General features: G+C 42.6%; 1 protein-coding gene across 30 annotated transcripts in view, besides 3 other annotated features; it reads right to left on the reverse strand.

The window, feature by feature from the left end:
* The window catches only part of DTNB (dystrobrevin beta), a 296,335-nt gene extending 281,411 nt beyond the window's left edge, over positions 1–14,924 (reverse strand). For all 30 annotated transcript variants that reach the window (NR_147180.2, NM_001320935.2, NM_001351393.2 and 27 more), the window contains exon 1: positions 14,733–14,924. The gene's annotated coding sequence lies outside the window, so the exon portion shown is untranslated. The remainder of the gene's footprint in view (positions 1–14,732) is intronic.
* Positions 14,373–15,302: a silencer, noted in NCBI's record as "silent region_11263". NCBI's record gives its function as "represses an Ori minimal core promoter by ATAC-STARR-seq in GM12878 lymphoblastoid cells {active_cell/tissue: GM12878}" and the evidence as "EXISTENCE:reporter gene assay evidence [ECO:0000049][PMID:35858748]".
* Positions 14,667–14,961: a silencer, noted in NCBI's record as "tiled region #7937; HepG2 Repressive non-DNase unmatched - State 1:Tss". NCBI's record gives its function as "represses a minimal TATA promoter and a strong SV40 promoter by Sharpr-MPRA in HepG2 cells {active_cell/tissue: HepG2}" and the evidence as "EXISTENCE:reporter gene assay evidence [ECO:0000049][PMID:27701403]".
* Positions 17,110–17,319: an enhancer, noted in NCBI's record as "active region_15463". NCBI's record gives its function as "activates an Ori minimal core promoter by ATAC-STARR-seq in GM12878 lymphoblastoid cells {active_cell/tissue: GM12878}" and the evidence as "EXISTENCE:reporter gene assay evidence [ECO:0000049][PMID:35858748]".

Below are 21,052 nucleotides of genomic sequence, written 5' to 3' on the forward strand. Positions count from 1 at the left end.
AAGCCAGTGTGAAAAGGCTACATACTGTATGACTCCAATTTTATGACCTTCTAGATAAAACAGAACTATAGAAACAGGAAAATGATCAGTGGTTGCCAGAGTTTGGGGAAAGCAGGCAGTGAACTGAGTAGGTGAAGCACGGGGCAATTTTTAGGGCAGAGAAATATTCTGTATGATTCTGTAATGGTGGAAACATGACACTATGTGTTTGTCAACACCGACAGAACTTTACAACACAAAGAGTGAATCTTTATTTTTTTAATCTTTTAACTTTTTATTTATGTATTTTGTACAGACAGGGTCTCATTATTGTTGTCCAGGCTGGTCTCGAACTCCTGGGCTCAAGCAATCGTCCCACCCCTGCTTCTCTAAGTTTCGGGACTACAGGAGTGAGCCACCACACCAGCCACAAAGAGTGAACCTTAATGCATGCAATTAAAAAAAAAATCAGAGGATCCCAGAATGAAAAGCAGAATGTGATAAAGCAATCCAACAGTATTATATATGTATGAAATGACCTCACTGAAGAGGGTGGGGGAAAAGGTAGTGATAAGGTAGTGGAAGGACTGAGCAACACTATCAACCAACCAGAGCTAATTGACATCTATGGAACACTCTACCAACAATAATGAAATGTACATTCTTTTTAGGTGCACATGAAACATGTACCAACAAAGACCAGAGCTTGGGCCATAAAACAAACAGTAACAAATTCAAAAGAATTAAAATCATACAGAGTATGTTATCTGACCATAATGCATTGAAACTAGAATTCACTAAAAGAAAGAGAAGTCAATGAAACTAAAAGCTAGTTCTTTGAAAAGATCAATAAAATTGATAAACCTCTAGCAAAACAGAGCAACAAAAAAAAGAGGGCATAAATTATCAATATTACTAATGAAAGAGGGGAAGTTATCACTACAGAACACATGAACATTAAAAGAAACACCATAGAAATATTATGAACAATTCTAATCTATACATATAACAACTCAGATAAAACTGACCAATTCCTCAAAAGCTACAAATTGCCAGAACTCGCCCAGGGTGAAACAGATAACCAGAATAACCCTATAATTACTAAAGAGATTGAATTTGTAGTTTAAAAAAAAACCTTCTGTGAAAGGAATCTGCAAGCCCAATTCTACAAGAACCCTTCCAGAAAACAAAAGACAAGGAAACACTTACCTACTCATTTTGTAGCCAGCATTACCTAGATAACAAAACCCAACAAAGGCAGAAAAAAAGGAAAACTACCAACCAATGTTCATGAACATTGTTCATTTTCACTGCAAAAGTCTTCAACGAAATATTAGCAAATGAAGTCCATGAACGTATGAAAACTTACTACAAAACCACAGTAATAAAAAAAACAGTGTAGTACTGGCACAAGGATAGCAATAGGAATCAATGGAACAGACTGGGAGTCCAGAAATATATCCTTACACTTATGGTCATCTGATTTTCAACACAGGTACCAAGACAATTCAAGAGAGAAAGGACAGTCTTTTCAACAAGTGGTGCTGGAATGAAACTGCAGTATATTCATACTAATTGTGGCATATACATACAATGGAATATTGTTCAGCCATAAAAAGGAATGAAGTACTGAAGCATGCTACAACATGGATGAACCTTGAAAACACTATGCTAAATGAAAGAAGCCAGTCATAGAAGACCATGTATTATATGATTCCAGTTCTATGAAATGTCCAGAATAGGTAAATCCATAGCAACAGAAAATTAATCATTGGTTTCCAGGGGTTTGTGGAGGGTTGACGGGGGAAGGTGAATAGGGAGTAACTGCTAATGAGTACAGGGTTCTTTTTAGGGATGATGCAAATGTTCTGAAATTAATAGTGATGGTTGCACAACTCTAGAAATATACTAAAAACCACTGAACTGTAGGTTGAATTATATGGTATGTGGATTATATCTCAAATAAGTTAAACAGAAAAAAGATATCTTACTATGCATAACCCTAAGGTAATCGTTTTCACTAAATATTATATTGCTAAGATTCACCCTGTTGTTCATTTTTTTTAACGCTGTATAATTCCAAAACTGCATTTTAATCTACTCTCCTACTGATGGAAATCTGAGTTGTTTCTAGTTTTGTTTTTTTCTATCGTGGACAGTGTTGCTACAAAACGTTGTACCTGTCTCTTGCTGCACAAGGTCAAGAGTTTATCTTGGGTGTGTATCTAAAAAAGGAATTGCCAAAATGTTTTTTAAAGTGCAACAAAGTACATTCCTGTCAGTGATATATCAGAGATCCTGTGAATTCACAATCTCTCCAACACTAGATCCACCAGGCTTTTCAAATTTTGCCAACAGCATGGGTATATGATATCATCTCATTGTGGTCTTGATTGGTATTTCTTTGATCACTAATGAAGGTACCCATCTCTAATATGTTTACTGGTCATATGTGTTTCCTTTTCTGTGAGGTGCCTGTTTATGTCTTTTGCAATTAAGCTTTTGTTACAGTAGTCTCAAAATATCTTTTAATCTCAACATAAGGAAGGACTTTCTAAGCAAAAGTTTGCCTAAGTTAAACTACACTTAAATCTAAGTATCAAAACTCATGAGAAAGATGAAAAGACAAGTCACTAACTGGGAAAAGAGATCGGCAATGCTTATAACCAACAACTGGTATCCACGATATGCACAGAATTTGTACAAACCGGTAAGAAAATCTGACCTAAGATATAAGCAGGCGATTCACAGAAGAGACAACAAAAATGGAAAACAAATACATAAAAAGTTGCACATAATAACTCAAGACTAAACTATAATATCTAAGGATCCACAGTTGGGGTAGAAAACCATAAAGGAATCCAAGGAAGGGATTACTATACAAATCAGGACAGCGATTGCTTTGGGGGGAAAGGAAGGGGCTATGACTGGGATGAGGTACATGGAGGAGCTTCTAATAGGGCTGGCAGAATTCTATTTCTTCACCTGGGTGAAGATGACAGAAGCGTTTGCTCTACAATAATTCACTAAGCTATGATTTTTTTAGTATCTGTTTAATTCTGCAACACAAAATTTACAAAAATATAATTTACCCATCACACACATCAAATGAAAAAAATGAGTCTGAAAATACCATTTATATTGGCAAAAATATGAGGTGACATGAATTCTCATATATTGCTGGTGAAAGCATAAATATAACAGCAAAAGCAGTATCTAGTAATATTAAAAATGGATATAGGCCAGGCGCAGTGGCTCCCACCTGTAATCCCAGTATTTTGGGAGGCTGAGGCAGGTGGATTACCTAAGGTCAGGAGTTGGAGACCAGCCTGCCCTACATGGTGAAACCCCGTCTCTACTAAAAATACAAAAAATTAGCTGGGCATGGTCGTGGGCGCCTGTAGTCCCAGCTACTCGGGAGGCTGAGGCAGGAGAACTGCTTGAACCCAGGAGGTGGAGGCTGCAAGGAGCTGAGATTGTGTCACTGCACGCCAGCCTGGGTGACAGAGCGAGACTCCGTCTCAAAAAAAAAAAAACAAAAAAAACAAATGGATGTATCTAATTACCCAGAAATTCCCTTTTTACAACTATGTCCTGAGGAGACACATACAAGAATGCTTATGATGATATTGTTTCTAAACACAAAATCAGAAACAACCTAAATGTCCATCAACAGAAGCATGGGAAAATAAAATTATAGTATAGTCAATCGCACAACAGAATAAAGCAGGGCTACATTTATCGAGATGGATCAATTTCACAATATTAAGTGAAAAAAGTTACAAGAGAATACATAAAAAATAATATTATTTCCATAAAGCTTAAAAACATGCATATTAACAGAAGCAGGACTGGGACTATGGTGATGTGAACGAGGTACCTGGGGCACAAAATTTAAGGAAGCATCACCCTGGGGGTCATGCAAGCCCATGGCTGAGGGGCTCCTTACATTGGGGACCTAGGTGCCTCCTCATCTCACCCTGGCCCTGGCCCTGAATATAACATACAAATATACAAATACACACACACACACACACACACACACACAAACACACACACACACACACACACACACAGCAAAAGTATAAAGAAGTATATGGAAATGGTAATCATCAAATTCAGAAAAGAGAGTATCTCTGGGGATGGAAACAGAATTATGACCGCAGAGGTATACCAACTCCACTGGCTATATTTTCTTTCTTAGGCTGGGTTCTAGGTACAATATAGTCTTCTTTTTTTGTGCTCCATTTACTTAAGTGGAAACATATTTTTTTAATTTTACTTTAAGTTCTGCGATACATGTGCAGAACGTGCAGGCTTGTTACATGGGTATACATGTGCCATGGTGGTCTGCTGCACCTATTGACCCGCCATCTAAGTTTTAAGCCCTGCATGCATTAGGTATTTGTCCTAATGCTCTCCCTCCCCTTGGCCCCCACCCCCCAACAGGCCCCTGTGTGTGTTGTTCCCTTCCCTGTATCCATGTGTTCTCACTGTTCAACTCCCACTTATGAGTGAGAACATGCGGTATTCTGTTTTCTGTTCCTGTGTTGGTCTGCTGAGAATGATGGCTTCCAGCTTCATCCATGTCCCTGCAAGGACATGAACTCATTCTTTTTTTATGGCTGCACAGCATTCGATGGTGTGTATGTGCCATATTTTCTTTATCCGTTCTATTATTAATGGGCATTTGGGTTGGTTCCAAGTCTTCGCTATTGTAAATAGTGCTGCAATAAACACAATGTGCATGTGTCTTTATAGGAGAATGATTTATAACCCTTTGGGTATATACCCAGTAATGGGATTGCTGGGTCAAACGTTATTTCTGGTTCTAGATCCTCGAGGAATCCCCACACCATCTTCCACAATGGTTGAACAATATATTATTCTTTATGCTTTATATGTACTATTTCTTTATAACATTTTAGATCATCTACTTTTAGTAAATTCTCTGGTAAGTCTTATCCTGAGTGTTTTAGCGGGGGTGGGGAGCACAGTTCTCCATATATTTCCATATATTTTATTATTGAAACAGAGTATACCAAATACCATAAGCTCTGTACTTTTATCCAAATATACATGAACTCCCATGAACTCTAAAATTTGGTACAATAGCCATCATTTCAAAATCTTCAGCAACGTGTTCTACCAGTATCTCAACAACAGTTGCTAATACAGGATACTTTTCAGTTTTACACCAAACTCAAATTATTTATCTATATATCATTTCAGCCACTGTTACCAAACAAGAAGAACAAGAGTTTATGACTTTTTGTCTTTTATTCCTAAACCTCAAAAGGAACTTCTAAAAATGTATTATTAACCTTAATAAAATTTTAAGGTACTGGATTATGACTGACAATCACTGAAAAACATCAATAAGTCTGTCTTTATATTCTGAATATTTAGTTTTTAAATATCTCAATTTATAAGATTAGCCCATAATATCATTAGTAAATACCTTCAGGTACAATGTACTCAACAGTGTATATAAGTCCATATTTTAAATAGTATTTTTAGTAATTCTAAGCTATTTTTTATTACTGCTTTTTCATCAATCTGATGAGATCACCATTGTTTTTATATTATGCATTTGACTGACAAGTTCATAATATAAATAGAAGTATCCACTCTGTTTCTTTCTGGCTGTTCACGTGTATTTGTATTATTACTTCAATCTTCTGCTGACTCTGAAACTTCAATCTGCATTTTCTTTGCAGGAATCTTTGTGAGCCATCTGTCTATTTAGCAAAGTTCATTTTATTCAAATCAGGTAATATGATCTGAAAGACCACTAAACCCAGCAGAGGTGAACTAAAACATGTGCTAAAACAATATAAGCAGGTAAATAAGGAGGATCACAGTATCAGCCCCTCCAGGCGGTGGGGTTCCCTAGCTTACCGTACGTGACAGACATCATCAGACACACAGATGAAGTAAAGTGTCAACCTATGGGTCAAATACTGGTAAAACTTGATTGCTCATATTTTCTTGTAACACCCTGCCTAGAGGATCATTTTACATACCTCCCACTTTGGAGACTATTGCTCTTTTTAAAAGTAGGTGAGAAGACAAGACCGTGCTGAGCTTGAGGAGATTTTCAGGATTAGGGGTGTTAGAAGTAGAGAGGAAACTAAAGTCTAAGTGGTCAGGTAACTTGGCCTGAAGTTGCAAAGCTAGGAATCTGCGGAGTTGACCATGACGATGCTAAAGCGCTAGAGCCCATTTTCTTTCTATTGTGTCACATCGCCCCCTCCAGGGCAACATGAGGCCTCAAGGAATAAGGAAAGAACACAGGTCCCAAAACTGTGGTGCTGGATCAGACCTTAAATCATGGAGCTAAGTAGGATCTGAAGAGAGTGCAGCAAAAAGTTTGGATCCTTGTTAGTTCTTACACTCTGTTCTATTCATAGAAAATAGAGTGTTTCACACCTGGACTACGTCTACACGCAGAAGTTACGTAACTCCCACAGTAAAGACTAAAGGAAAAGGAGAGAAGGCTTTGGAAGTGTCTCCAGGATGTCTCTGTACATGCCTTTGTGTTAAATAGCCTTTATTTCCTTTCCATCTTTTTGTTAATTTCTTAACCCTGCCAGCTCTCAGCTACGTCAAAGCATCCAAGTATTGAAATTTCTTATGTAAGTTCACCACCTCCCACCATCTCCCTGTCAGTTTTTCTTTGGATGTCCATTTAATTAAGAAGTCAGTGAGGGGCCAGGCGCGGTGGCTCATGCCTGTAATCCCAGCACCTTGGGAGGCTGAGGCGGGTGGATCACGAGGTCAGGAGATGGAGACCATCCTGGCTAACACAATGAAACCCAGTCTCTAATAAAAATAGAAAAAAATAGCCAGATATGGTGACATGCGCCTATAGTCCCAGCTACTTGGGAGGCTGAGGCAAGAGAATCCCTTGAACCCAGGAGGTAGAGGTTACAATGAGCTGAGATCGTGCCACTGCACTCCAGCCTGGATGACAGAGCAAGACTCCGTCTCAAAAAAAAAAAAAGTTAGTGATGACTAAGACTCTCATTAACACTTAGTTACAACAAGCCAAACTTTATTGAAAGAGAACTTCCTTGCTTATTTCAGAAAAATTCTCAAATATTCTTCCTTTAATACTTCTTTTCTCTTCTCTTTCAGATTTAAAAAAAAAAAAAAAAGGCCAGGGAAAATAAATGTTCATAAAACCTTAAAGATTTGCTTTTTACAAATCTGAGAGAGTTCTCTAGGTTCCAATAAAAAAATTCAGTAACTGCACTCCACTACAACAAAGAGTTCTGAGTAGCTAAATAACCTCACGGGGCTGTGGTAACTCTTAAATCAATATCATGTAAAGCATTTAGCACAATGGCATCCAGTAAGAGCCCAATAAATGTTAGCTACTATTATTGATATTATTAGGTACTATTCAAATATAGTGAAGTTACGATGATATTTAGTCCAAACCTGATTACTACAGCATTTCAGCCCTATTTTAACTTATATATAATGTTAGTATACAAAAATTCAAGTTTAAAATGTGTTTTCTTTAAAGGTTGTGAGGTTTTTTGTTAAAAGTGAATTAACAAGTAAATCATATACATCTGTTTCTCTCAGTTACCTACAACTCAGAGAGATCTGTCCTATTCTTGACATGTTAAAGAAGGGAAAAAATAATTTCAAGAAATGCCCCAAAAAAAGGCCTCCATAAAATTCAACACCCAATTAAAAATATTTACCAAGAACAGAAGAAAACTTCCTTAAATTGACAAAAGACATCTTCCAAAAACCAACAGTAAACATCATATCTAACAGTGAAACACTGGAAACATTACCACTCAGGAAAAAGATTAAAATGCCCATTATTATACTTATTCTTGTACTGGAAGGCCTAGGCAATGCCATAACAAAGAAAAAAGTCTTTGTATAAAGTTGAGAAAGGAGCTTGGCTAATTAAATCTTCTAGAAAGTGGCCAGTAAGTACATTCTTTGATGCATCCTCTCTGCTCTAAATACACAATAATGGATAAAATATTTTTTAACAATTTTTTTTAATTAGGCTCAAAAACAAGATAAACCTCTATTTGGAGAAACAGAATAGATACACAAAGTTGCAAGCAGGACTGAAGCTCTAGGCTTGCTGGATCCGGAGTCTAGACCAGGTGTGCACTTCCTGCAGGTAGTAATGACAGAAAGCAAAGGAGGATGAAGAAACGGAGATATCTGGGCCAGACCCACTGCTCAAGGCCAGCAATGATGCTGGAGCTGAAAGGAAGCTAAAAAATACTGCTGCCAATCTCTGCCTAGAACTACAGTTTATCTAATACTCTAGGCTTAGATAAGTGGGAAGATATAAACAGCCTCAGGACCATACTCTATGAGAGGATCGAAAATAGCCCAATTAACTCAAAGGGCAGGACCCTTGACCCACAATTATCATATCTGATTCTAGACTGAGGCCCAGTAGGTCAGCTGAAGCACCTGAAATATCACCACACAGAGGACAGTGGGCACAGAAGAAAACAAAATTAAAAAAAAAAAAAAGAAAAGAAAACAAAATCAAAAGCACTCACTCTGAAAATGGGTCTGTAATTTGGCTGGGTGTGGTGGCTCACGTCTTTAATCCCAACACTTTGGGAGGCTGTGGCAGGCGAATCACTTGAGGTCAGGAGTTTGAGACCAGCCTGGCCAACATGGTGAAACCCTGTCTCTACTAAAAATACAAAAATTAGCCAGGCGTGGTGGCGGGTGCCTATAATCCCAGCTACTCGGGAGGCTGAGGCAGGAGAATCGCTTGAACCTGGGAGGTAGAGGCAGAGGCTGCAGTGAGCTGAGATCATGCCACTGTATTCCACCCTAGGCGACAGAGCCAGACTCCATCTCAAAAAAAAAAGTCTGTACTTCAAAACACATGAAGAGATACACTGCAAGAAAGACAGCCAACAAAACCAATGACTAAATATTATTCCAGGTGAAGTTTAACTTTACAGAACAGTCTGACATACTTATTATATAAGTACATTTAGGGTACTTGGACATAAATTTTAAAAATTATTGGGAATGCAAATGATACAGTCACTTTGAAAGATAGTTTAATAGTTTCCTACAAAGCTTGATATATTCTTACCATTCGACCCAGCAATCACTCTCCTAGGTATTTTCCCAAGTGAGTTACAAATTTAATGTCTACACAAAAACCTGCACACGGATGTTTATAGCAGTTTTATTCAAAAATTGCCAAAAACTAGAAGCAACCAAGATGTCCTTCAGTAGGTGAACGAATAAACAAACTGTGGTGCTTCCATAAAAAGGAATATTATCATTCGGCGCTAAAAAGAAATGAGCTGGCCGGACGCGGTGGCTCACGCATGTAATCCCAGCACTTTGGGAGGCCAAGGCAGGCGGATCATGAGGTCAGGAGATCGAGACCATCCTGGTTAACATGGTGAAACCCCGTCTCTACTAAAAATACAAAAAATTAGCCAGGCATGGTGGCGGACGCCTGTAGTCCCAGCTACTCGGGAGGCTGAGGCAGGAGAATGGTGTGAATCCGGGAGGCAGAGCTCGCAGTGAGCCGAGATCGCGCCACTGCACTCCAGCCTGGGCCACAGAGTGAGACTCAGTCTCAAAAAATAAAAATAAAAAAAAGAAATGAGCTATCAAGTCGCAAAAAAGACTTAGAGGAAACTTAAATGCATACTGCTAAGCAAAAGAAGCCAATCTGAGTAGGCTCCATACTACATGATTCCAAATCTATGACATTTCCAACTCTGGAAAAGGTAAAACTATAGCCATGTAATGACATTTATTCTGTCTGTACTGTTGAGTATTTTACAAGTGAGCCCCTTGCAGGGTTGTAGCATGCAGTCATGCCATGTAAATGATACATGACATTACGCACTTGTCAAAACCCATAGAACTATACAATACAAAGAGTGAACTCTAAATCATGAACTTTAACAACAATGTATCAATATTAGTTTATCAATTATAATAAATGTAGCATACTAATGCAAGATGTTAATAATAGGAGAAACCATATGGGAAAGAGTGGGTATATGGAAACTCCATACTATTCAGCCACATTGGTCAAAATTGTGTTAATCTATTTTTATTCCATTATGTATATTGTTTTAAAAACTGTATTACTGACAATTGCACTTGAGTACATACACAAAAGAAATGGAAACAGAGACTTAAACAGACATACAGATACCAATGTTCATAGCAGCACTCCTTGTAATGGCCAAAACGGGGAAACAACCCAAATGTCCATCAATGAATGAATAAACAAAATGTGGTATATTCATACCATGGAATATTATTCAGCCTTAAAAAGGAAATTTTCACACATGCTACAATATGAATGAACTTTAAGGACATTATACTAAGTGAAATCAGCCAGATACAAAAGGGCAAATATTGTAATGATTCCATTCATATGAGGTACCTAGAGTAGTCGAATTCATAGAGACAGAAAGTAGAATGGTGGTTGCCAGGCGCTGAGGGAAGAATGGGGAGCTGGTGTTTAAGGGGTACAGAGTTTCAGTTGGGGATGATGAAAAAGCTCTGGAGACAGTGGTGATGGCTGTGCAACAATGTGAATGTATTTCATGCTACAGAACTGTACACTTACAATGGTTAAAATTGTTATTTTTATGTTATGTGTATTTTACTATAATAAAAAAAGTTAGAGTGCTGAAAAACTGGTCATCCAAATTGAAAAAAAAATTGTATCTTTTCATTATACCATACATAGAAATAAATTCCATCTGGAAAGCAAAACTTTTTTAAACTTTTGGAAGAAACTCTAAGAATATATCATTAACACCATGAGAGACAGAAAATTTTCTTAAACCAGATACACACCCAAAAAAAGACAAGCCATTTAAGGGAAATTTTTCATAAATATGACATTAAACTTAAATGGTATATACAACCAAATACATTGTTAACAAAGGGAAAGAAAAGCCTAGGGCTGGCAGGATGCATTTGCAACACACAGACCCACTGAAGAATCAGCATCTAAAGGAACCCAACTGTTCCTCAGTGAGTAAAAGGACACGTGCGCTGTGATGTAAGTCCACAACCGGGCCAGGTGCAGGGGCTCATGCCTGTAATCCCAACGCTTTGGGAGGATCACTTGCCAGCCTGAGCAACATGGCGAGACTGCATCTCTACAAAAAATTTTAAATGGTGGCACGCAAGTGTAGTCCCAGCTACTTGGGAGAATCACTTGAGCCCTGGAGTGCCACTGCACTCCAGTCTGGGCGACAGAGGAAGACCCTATCTCAAAAAAAAAAAAAAGCCTACAACTGAATACACTAAGCAGTTGAAAATAAATGGATTAAATCCACAAGCAGCAACATGGTTATAGCCCCATCAGTTATGAAGTAAAACGCATACCTCTGACCCAGCAACTGTAGTTTTTCATTCACTGCAGCAACGGTCCTTAATGAGAATACTAAATAAACTACGATACATACTACATAAGAGATTGTGTAGTAGTTAAGAAGACTCAGGTTGATTCCTGTGTTCCAACATGAAAAAATCTCAAAATCATTCTGTTAGGGGAAAAAACTGCAGAACAATGTGTATGGTATGATGTCATTAATGCAGAGGAGAAAAAACTCTGCTCTTTTTTTATTCTGTATTACCTATATATACATGAAAATACATAGAGAATAGCCTGGAAAGACCACAAAAACTGATAACTTCTGTTTCTGTGAGTAGGTCAAGGGGGCCTTTATTCTGTCTATACTGTTTTGAGTATCAGATGAGTTTGTGTTCCCTATATATACATGAAAATACATAGAGAATAGTCTGGAAAGACCACAAAAACTGATAACTTGTTTCCGTGAGTAGGTCAAGGGGGCCTTTATTCTGTCTGTACTGTTTGAGTATCTGACAAGTGAGTGTGTGTTCTGAGCCACCTGCAGAGTTGCAGCACACAGTCACACAGAGTGTGCACTACACAACTCCAGCAGCTGCCAGGCACAAGGACTCCAATGTGAATGGTGCTCCCTAAAGCTGGGCAGAATACAATCTACACAACTAGGTGCCACAGCTCTGATGCTCGTGTAATTCGAAATCAATAAAAGGGAGTAGGGAAGATAGAGAATGGACTGCAAACCAGCATAAGGGAACATTCTGGGGTGATGGAAATTTCTTGATTGGAATGGTGGTTACAAAGTATACAGCAGTCTCCCCTCAGAAATAAACAATTTGTAAGTTTTAAGTTGTGTACCATTCTGAATAGCGTGACGAAATTTTGTGCCATCCCACTCTGTCCCACCTGGGATATGAACTATCCCTTTCTCCAGCATATCCACACTGCATAAGCCACCTTCTGGTTACTCACTTAGTAGCTGTCTCAATGATCAGATTGACTGTCATGGTATCACAGTGCTTGTGTTCAAGTGACCACTGTTTTACTTAATAATAAAGTGCAAGAGTAGTGATGCTGGCAATTGGGATATGCCACAGAGAAGCCAAACATATGCCTAAGAGAAGTCATTAATCTCTCATGGCAACTAATTTATAAGTTAAAACTTTATCATAGATACTTAAGTATAGGGAAAAAACAGTCTATATAGGGTTTGGAATTAACTGTGGCTTCAGGCATCCACTGGTGCTCTTGGAACATATCCCTGAGGCTAATGGGGGGACTACTGTACACATTTTTCCAAAACTCATCCAACCGCACACGGGAAATCTGTGCATTTTATTTTGTCAACTATACGTCAAAAAGTTGGTTTTAAAATAAATACATAAACAAAATATCATTGAGAGAGCCTGGAATAAGGCACCCAATATTGTAGAACCTAGGCACCTCTCAACAAGAGACCTGCTGGCTGTACAGCCCTGAAACAGGAGAAATAAATTTACTTCTTCAAGGCTTCCTATACAATGCCAGATTTTGATTATTACTTATTTTTCACACGAAGAAACTAAGGCCCTGAGAGAGTAACATAAAGACATAAAATAAACAATAAGTTGAAATTCTCTTGGTTCTGAGTCTAATTTTCTAACCATAGGTAGAAATTTGTCTCTCGGGCATAGTGGACATCCAAAAACTCTGCCAGCACTACCTTGACTGCACAACCCCTTTCAAAGGCAATTCCACTTATGCATGATAAAAATCCTTAGAGAACTCATAAAAGGTCAAGTTTTAATTTGGCAGACAAAGTAACCCAACAGGCACTGCAACCCAGGTTACTGAAACAGCAGCCTGGAGCTCCAGAGTTCAGAGATTCAACCAAGGCAGAGCACAGGTAGAATTCCAGCCCTTACAGAAAAGCAGAGGCACCAACAGCCTCGCACTACAGGTCTAAGACCCAAGAACCAGGACCAAAATGAAAAAGTGTTCTCTAGACAACACTACCCTCTTCCTTCTCAAGTAATAGAAAAAGCCAATGGGAGAAGGAACAAAATGGGATGATCTCAAGCAACAGGCCAAGGAGCAAGCTCTTGAAGGCCAACATGAAAGACACATGGGAAAGTGGTAGCATGGCCACAGAAACCAAGACCTCGCCGCCTTAGCCATTGCTTTAACGTGCCCAGACCTCAGAACCGGGGTTGCCTCGCATAGCAAAAAAAAAAAAAAAAAAAAAAAAAAAAAAAGAGGCAGAGAGAGAGAACTTGTGGAACAGGAGAAATCCAGCAACCTTCCCTAACACTAGAGTGACTGACACTGCTCCATGGCAAATGTGGCCAAACCTTGCTTGTCCATTCATTCATGCAATAGACACTTATGGCTCAACCGCTGTGAGCCAGGCAACATTCTGAAGATTTAGCAGTCAATAGTCATGGAGCTTATTTCTAGATGGGAAGGAAGGAAACTTCCTTTCTTTCCAAACGTCTTTTTTCCCCATCTAAGAGCCCCCTTTAAATGTTACCCGTAGGAGCCTTCAAAACTCTCCCAAATTTCTCCCATAGGCTTCTTTTGACCTTTCTGCTTTATCCCCAAAACCACGCAATTTATGGCTCCAATTTCCCAATACTGGGAAAAGACAAAAGAGACCGAAAGTAAATAGGGCATGCGACATAAAATTCGACGCTCCTTTGTATTTCATGTGCATATCTTCACAGCCACACTGTCAGCACCTCAATAACATGACGGTGTTCCATACTATTTCGTGGCCCCAGTGCTGACTACGGGTCTCTACCTACGGTAGCTGGAAGGTCTTCCTAATCCCAAGGCCTGGCACAGGAATTTAAGGGCAAGTATTCGTCACCGGCATCCTCGTCTCGGGACACTTCTTTCCTGTCCAGGGTGACCTCCTGGACAGGTTCGCTATTAGGCGCCTCGGGAAACAGTGATTTGGGGTGATCTGAAATAAATACCCTTCCCTCTGCCAGGGCCTGCCCGCCTCACCTGCCCTCTGCCAGGACCTGCCTCACTCGCCCCTTCAGCACCTAACGCAGAGCCGCCTCCAGGCGAGCCGGGCTCGGGCAGCATCAGCCCGGCGCCGGGCCCCCGCTCGCGCCCGTGCCCCGGCGCGTTCCGGACCCCGATACCCCTCCCGGCCCGGGATCCGCCGCATCCCCTCTGCCTGTCCCTCCGGGGCTAGCCGCGCCGTCCCACCTCGCAGCCGCGCGCGGTGCAGCGGCCCCGGCTCCCCGCGCCCTCCCCGACTCCTGCAGCGCCGCACCCGCAGGCTCCCGGGTCCCCAGTCCCGGCGCAGCGCGAGCTGCCGTCCCGCACCTCGCGGGCGCGAGGCTCCAGCCCAGCTCGTCTCCCCACAGCCCCGGCGGCGGCCGCAGACCCCCACCTTGCTCACTTCCCCGCCGGAGCAGGGGTCGTCGGGAAGGTCTCCTGCGGCCTCACTCCTCCGCACGCTCCGGCCCAGCCCCCTCGGCTGAGGCAGCGGCAGCGCCTACTCAGGCCCCGGAGCCACCCCCGCGGCGAACGTTCGCAGCGCCCGGCTCGCGCCGCTTCTCCGCCCGGCACGCGCAGCGCCCGCCCCCGGCGCGAGGGCGCGAGGGCGGAGGGCGGAGGGCGGATGGGCGGGCGCGCGCCCAGCGCGAGCGCGCGGCCGGGGGCGTGGCTTCCGCGCGCGGGGAGGGGGCGGGAGCGGCCGAGCAACCCCCCTCCACCCCGCCCCCGCGGCCGCGCCCCGCCCACCGGTCGCCGGCGGGTTCCGGGCAGGCGGGAAGCTGGCTCCATCCAGGCTTCTCCCGCTCGCTGGCGTCGGGCCGGGTGTCTTTCCATCCGCAGGTATCCGTCGGCGGGGTGCCCGGCCCGACGTGACTACCCGACAAAGAATGCAAAGAGCCACCCCGTGAATCATTCTCCGCGCCTGGGTCACAAGCCTGTGCCCGAGTGACCCCCGTGAACTCCGCAAGCTAGCCCAGCCGCGGCGTGCGCCCCGCGCTGCACCAGGTGCCTGTGGGCGCACGATCACGGTCACGGCGCCTGGGCTCGAGGCGCCCCAAACTTAGCGGGGAAAACAGCCATGTACACAACCAAGTCCGATGACCCGTGCAGAGCCAAGCCACGGTGCGATGCTGGCACAGAAGCTAGAGACGACTTCTGCTTGGACGCCGCAGAGGGCTAGAGGCGGCATTTATGGTCAACCTCGAAGGAAGAAAAAGAAGTCCTAGGAGGAAAAAGGGAGGACATTAGGGCTGGGAAAACAGTTTGGGCAAAGGAGCCGGGGCAGCCAGGTTTACCATCTCAGCACCAGCTTTTTTGTGTTTTACTGTTATCCATCTTTTATAGAATTCTTTCCAAACTGTGAAATACAGGAGATGGTGCCAAATTAGAATATAGCAAGGACTTTTTGAATGGTTCAAATGGTCATTCTCAACGTTACTTAAGACTCAAAACAGCAACGTCCTTTGGGGGCTATTGGTCAATGATGAAGGCTGTAAGCTCCAGAGCTAAGCGACCCCAGGCCTGCATGCTGGGAGTATGGTTTTCACTGCTTTTTGGCACCTTACGGTAAGGCAGATCGTGCCACCTCCTGCTGCTGCCTGCCTGCCTGCCTGCCTGCCTTTAGAACACCCTCTTCCTCCTCCTCTCCTCTTTTTATTTTTAAACTCCTATGGTGAAGGAAATGCTGATAACCAACTTTGTTAAATGGGAACAAATAGGTTCCTCAAAAGATGAGCATTTTCTGGCCTGCCGCGGAGGCTCACGCCTGTAATCCCAGCACTTTGGGAGGCTGAGGCAGACGGATCACTTGAGGTCAGGGGTTCGAGACCAGCCTGGCCAACATGGCGAAACTCTGTCTCTACTAAAAATACAAAAATTAGCCGGGCGTGGTGGTGTACGCCGTAATCCCAGCTACTTGGGAGGCTGAGGCAGGAGAATCGCCTGAACCTAGGAGGCAGAGGTTGCAGTGAGTCGAGATCGCACCACTGTACTCCAAGTCTGGGCAAGAGAGTGAGACTCCGTCTCAAAATAAATAAATAAAGATGGACATTTTACCTTTTACCTTACATATATGAAGTGTGTGAATATTTTCATGCTTGAGGAGACTTATCTCTTGTAGGCACGGTCTTGGCTATGTTTTGTACATATTAAGATACTCAGAATACAGGTAAGAGACCTCTAGCTTCTTTATTTGCCCTTTTTGAGCACCCCCTATGTGGAAGGCATTGAGAGGGGTAAAACATTGATTCTGTTCTTTGGAGAAAAGATGTGTAAATAATATAAAATAAATGTGTAAATATCGCTTGATATGTTCGGTTTATTGATTGAAACCAAGGTAATTTCAATATGTGGACTAGACAATCCTAAACCATAAGGGAATTAAATACTTCAAGGACACTGTATTGGCATCTCTCCATCTCTGTTCTCTATTTCTTCACCTCCCACATCCTCAGAAAACTTTTCAAACACCTTTCAATCATTCTCCCCCTCTCACTCCAAAATTACCAACTTCTCTTTACTTGTCTCTTTCCTTCATCATCTATTCATGTTTAAGCTTTTCCTGTCCTCAAGAAAAAGGAAGAAACCCTTTCGCTGTCCCTCTAGATTCTGCTTCAGTTACTAGTCCCTCTCTGAGTTTTCCTTCATAAATATCTTGAAAGTCATCTACCCTCATCTCTACCTCCTCAGCAGCTCCTCAGCTCCTCAAACCTATGTAGTTTCTGTCCACACCACATCACTGCATTGCTCTCAGTCATGAATGGCTTGTTGGATCCTAAATACCACAAGCCATCTCTGAGTCCTCATATTGTTAGAACTCTCAGTGACATTGAACAGAGTAGCCCACTCTTTCTGAAACTCCCTTGGTGTCATGGCATGACTCCTGTCTTAACCCCTGTGACCACTTCTCAGTTTCACAGATTCTCTCCTCAGCTGGTCTCACGCCACACATTCTCCCTGGACCATTCCATCCACTCCGCTTCTTTATCTACCGCATATCAGCAACTCCCAAGTGCACTCTCTCTAGCTCAGGCCACTCATCTGGGTTCCTTATTCACAAAAGCCCGCCAGACTTCTCCACCTGGGTGTCCTAGAGGTACCCCACGTTCTACATGTCTAAACTACTGTCCACCCAGTTGACCAATTCAGAAACTGGGGGGCCATTCTTGATTCCTTCTTCTCCCACCACCCCTCTGCCCTGACTCCATACCCAACAACCACTAAGTCCCATTGATGCTTCCTCATAAATAAATAACTAGAATCTTTCCCTCTTAGCCCACCTCCCCTAAACTAATGCAGCAGCTTTGTTTGTTTGTTCTGGGACGGAGTCTCGCTCTGTCACCCAGGCTGGAGTGCAGTGGCACGATCTTGGCTCACTGCAACCTCCGCCTCCCAGGTTCACGCGATTCTCCTGCCTCAGCCTCCTGAGTAGCTGGGATTACAGATGCCCATCATCATGCCTGGCTAATTTTTATATTTTTAGTTAGAGACGGGGTTTCACCATGTGGACCAGCCTGGTCTCAAACTCCTGGCCTCAAGTGATCCCCACCTGCCTTGGCCTCCCAAAGTACTGGGATTACAGGCGTGAGCCACTGCGCCTGGCCATGCAGCAGCTTTTTATGTGGTCTCCCTGCCAGTCTTGCTGCTTCCAATCCATCTTCCATGCTGCAGATTAGAGAAAGCTTTCAAAAATTTACCACCCCTGGTGTCACTGTCTAGCACTTCCCTTAATCTAGCCCTTGCCCATTCTCTCCAATCCATCGTCTATTGCTTCCTCCACACACACCATACAAACTCCTGGAATGTTTCCACTTCCCCTTGGCTCCACACCTTTGTGCTTGTTTCTGTCTCTTTTTGGAATGTCATTTGAATACAAGCAAAGAATATCCAACATATGTGTCACTGGGGTGCTACATATGTCGAAGCTATAATCTAAGAATCTTTCTGAAAATAAGATATAAACCTATAAGGCCTACATTTACCTGGGAAAATTGCCAGAGGCTGAACTCTGAGAGCTATGCTATTTACAGTGTTAAACTGATAATAATAATAATCTTCAAGGTCTGCAGGTACAAAGTTCAAATTGTTTAAAAGGGTAAGAAAATTGGACTGCAGGCCAGGTGCGGTGGCTCAAACCTGTAATCCCAGCACTTTGGGAGGCTGAGGTGGGCAGATCACCTGAGGTCAGGAGTTCGAGACCAGCCTGGCTAACATGGTGAAACCCTGTTTCTCCTAAAAATGCACAAAATTAGCCGGGTGTGGTGGTGCACGCCTGTGATCCCAGCTACTCGGGAGGCTGAGGCAGGAGAATCGCTTGAACCCGGGAGGCGGAGGTTGCAGTGAGCCGATATTGCGCCATTGCACTCCAGCTTGGGCAACAAGAGCGAAAATCTGCCTCAAAAAAAAAAAAAAAGAAAGAAAAGAAAATTGGGCTGCGGGACTTTAAACGTGGCTGCCAATTTTTTTTTTTATCATTCCTCTCCATCCAGGATGGCCTTACTGAATTGCTCGGCCAATAGAACATGCAATATTCTGGGATTTCTAATCCCAGTTCACAAAAAGTCTTTAAGTGTCCACTTGAGTTTGGGTCTTTGGTCTTTGGGAACACTTTTTTTTTTTTTTTTTTTTTTTTTTTGAGATGGACTTTCACTCTTTCACCCAGGCTGGAGTGCAGTGGCACGATCTCTGCTCACTGCAACCTCTGCCTTCCGGTTTCAAGCGATTCTCCTGCCTCCGCCTCCCGAGTAGCTGGGACTACAGGTACCCACCACCACACCTGGCTAATTTTTGTATTTTTAGTAGAGACGGGGTTTCACCATATTGGCCAGGCTGGTCTTGAACTCCTGACCTCATGCCACCCGCCTCAGCCTCCAAAGGTGCTGAGATTACAGGCGTGAGCCACCGTGCCTGGCCAGAACACTTATTCTTAAAGCCCCAAGCTGCTATGTAAAATATGTAACTCCCCAGAAAGGTCCTACATGGAGAAGGAGAGGACCTAGCTGATTCTTGCTGGTATGAGTGAAATCGTCATGAAAGCCCTACATCAGCAGAATACCACTGAGTGACCTCAGTTGAAGCCACAGGGAACAGAAGAATCATCCAGCCAAGCCCTACCCAAATTCCTAACTCCAAAGACTGTGAAATTATAATTAAAATGGTTCTTACTTGAAGCCATTCTTTTTAGGGTAGGTGGTTTATTATGGAGTCTGGTAGCCAAAATAGTTGGCATCACCCGTCTCAAGAACAACAAACAAGCAAGGCAGTAGTGATACAGCATTTTCAGCATTTTCTGGAAACTTAAGGAACAAAGATGCAAGCCAAGGATTTTATATCCATCCATTCATGCTGTTTTTAAAACATCTAGTCGATAAAAAAGAACTGTTTACAAAATGCACAACTCAAAGAATACTGCACATGCAAGCCCATCTTAAGCATCTAGTAGAGCAGGGTCAGCAAATTTTTCTAAAGCATCTGATAGTAAACATTTTAGGTTTGGTAGTCTAACTACACCAGCCTGCTACTGTAGCACATAAGCAACCATACATGATATGTCAATAAGTGGGCGTGGCTATGTTCCAATAAAATTATATTTACAAAAACAGACTTGGAGCTGGATTTGGCCCATGAGCTACAGTTTGCCACCCCTATACTAGACGAAAAGGAATAAATTTATCAAGTAAGCACATCACAAAACACAAGGCCTGTATGATTTAAGAAAATAATATACCATGATCCAAGTGGGGTTTATGTATTAGTCTGCTAGAGCTGCCATCACAAAGTATTCAGACTGGTTGGCTTAAAGAACAGAAATTCATCTTTTCATAGTTCTGGAGGCTACAAGTCCTAGGTCAAGATGTTGGCAAGGGTGGGGCATGGTGGCTTATGCTTGTAATCTCAACACTTTGGGAAGCAGAGGAGGAAAGTTTGCTTGAGCCTATCAGTTCAAGACCAGGCTGGGCAACATGGTAAGACCCCACGTCTAAAAAAAAGAAAATTTTTTTTTTCTTTTTTTAAGACAGTCATGCTCTGTCACCCAGGCTGGAGTGCAGTGGTGTGATCTCGGCTCACTGCAACCTCCGCCTCCCAGGTTTAAGCGATTATCCTGCCTCGATTTCCAAGTAACTGGGATTACAGGTGCATGCCACCTCACCCGGCTAATTTTTGTTTTATTTTTAGTAGAGACGGAGTTGGTCTCAAACTCCTGACCTCGGGTGATTCTCCCGCCTCAGCCTCACAAAGTGCTGGGATTACAGGAGTGAGCCACCATGCCTGGCCACTGCAAAAAAAAAAAATTGGTTTTTTTTTTTTGAGATGGAGTCTCGCTCTGTCACCCAGGCTGGAGTGCAGTGGCGTGATCTCGGCTCACTGCAAGCACCGCCTCCCAGGTTCACACCATGTTAGCCAGGATGGTCTCGATCTCCTGACCTAGTGATCCGCCTGTGTCGGCCTCCCAAAGTGCTGGGATTACAGGCGTGAACCACTGCGCCAGGCCTACCTCCTCTTCTTATAAGGACGCTAGTCCTATTGAAGTAGGACCCACCTCTAATAACCTCATGTAACTTAATTACCTCTTTAAAGATCCTATCTCCAAATATAGTTACATTCTGGGGTACCGGGGATTAGGACTTCAACAACCTAAATGTAAAAGCTAAGAAACTCTTAGAAGAAAACAGAGCTGTAAATCTTCATTACCTTGGGGCTGGTAAAGGCAAATGA

This window comes from Homo sapiens, chromosome 2 (assembly GCF_000001405.40).
Source record: "Homo sapiens chromosome 2, GRCh38.p14 Primary Assembly".
NCBI lineage: Eukaryota > Metazoa > Chordata > Mammalia > Primates > Hominidae > Homo > Homo sapiens.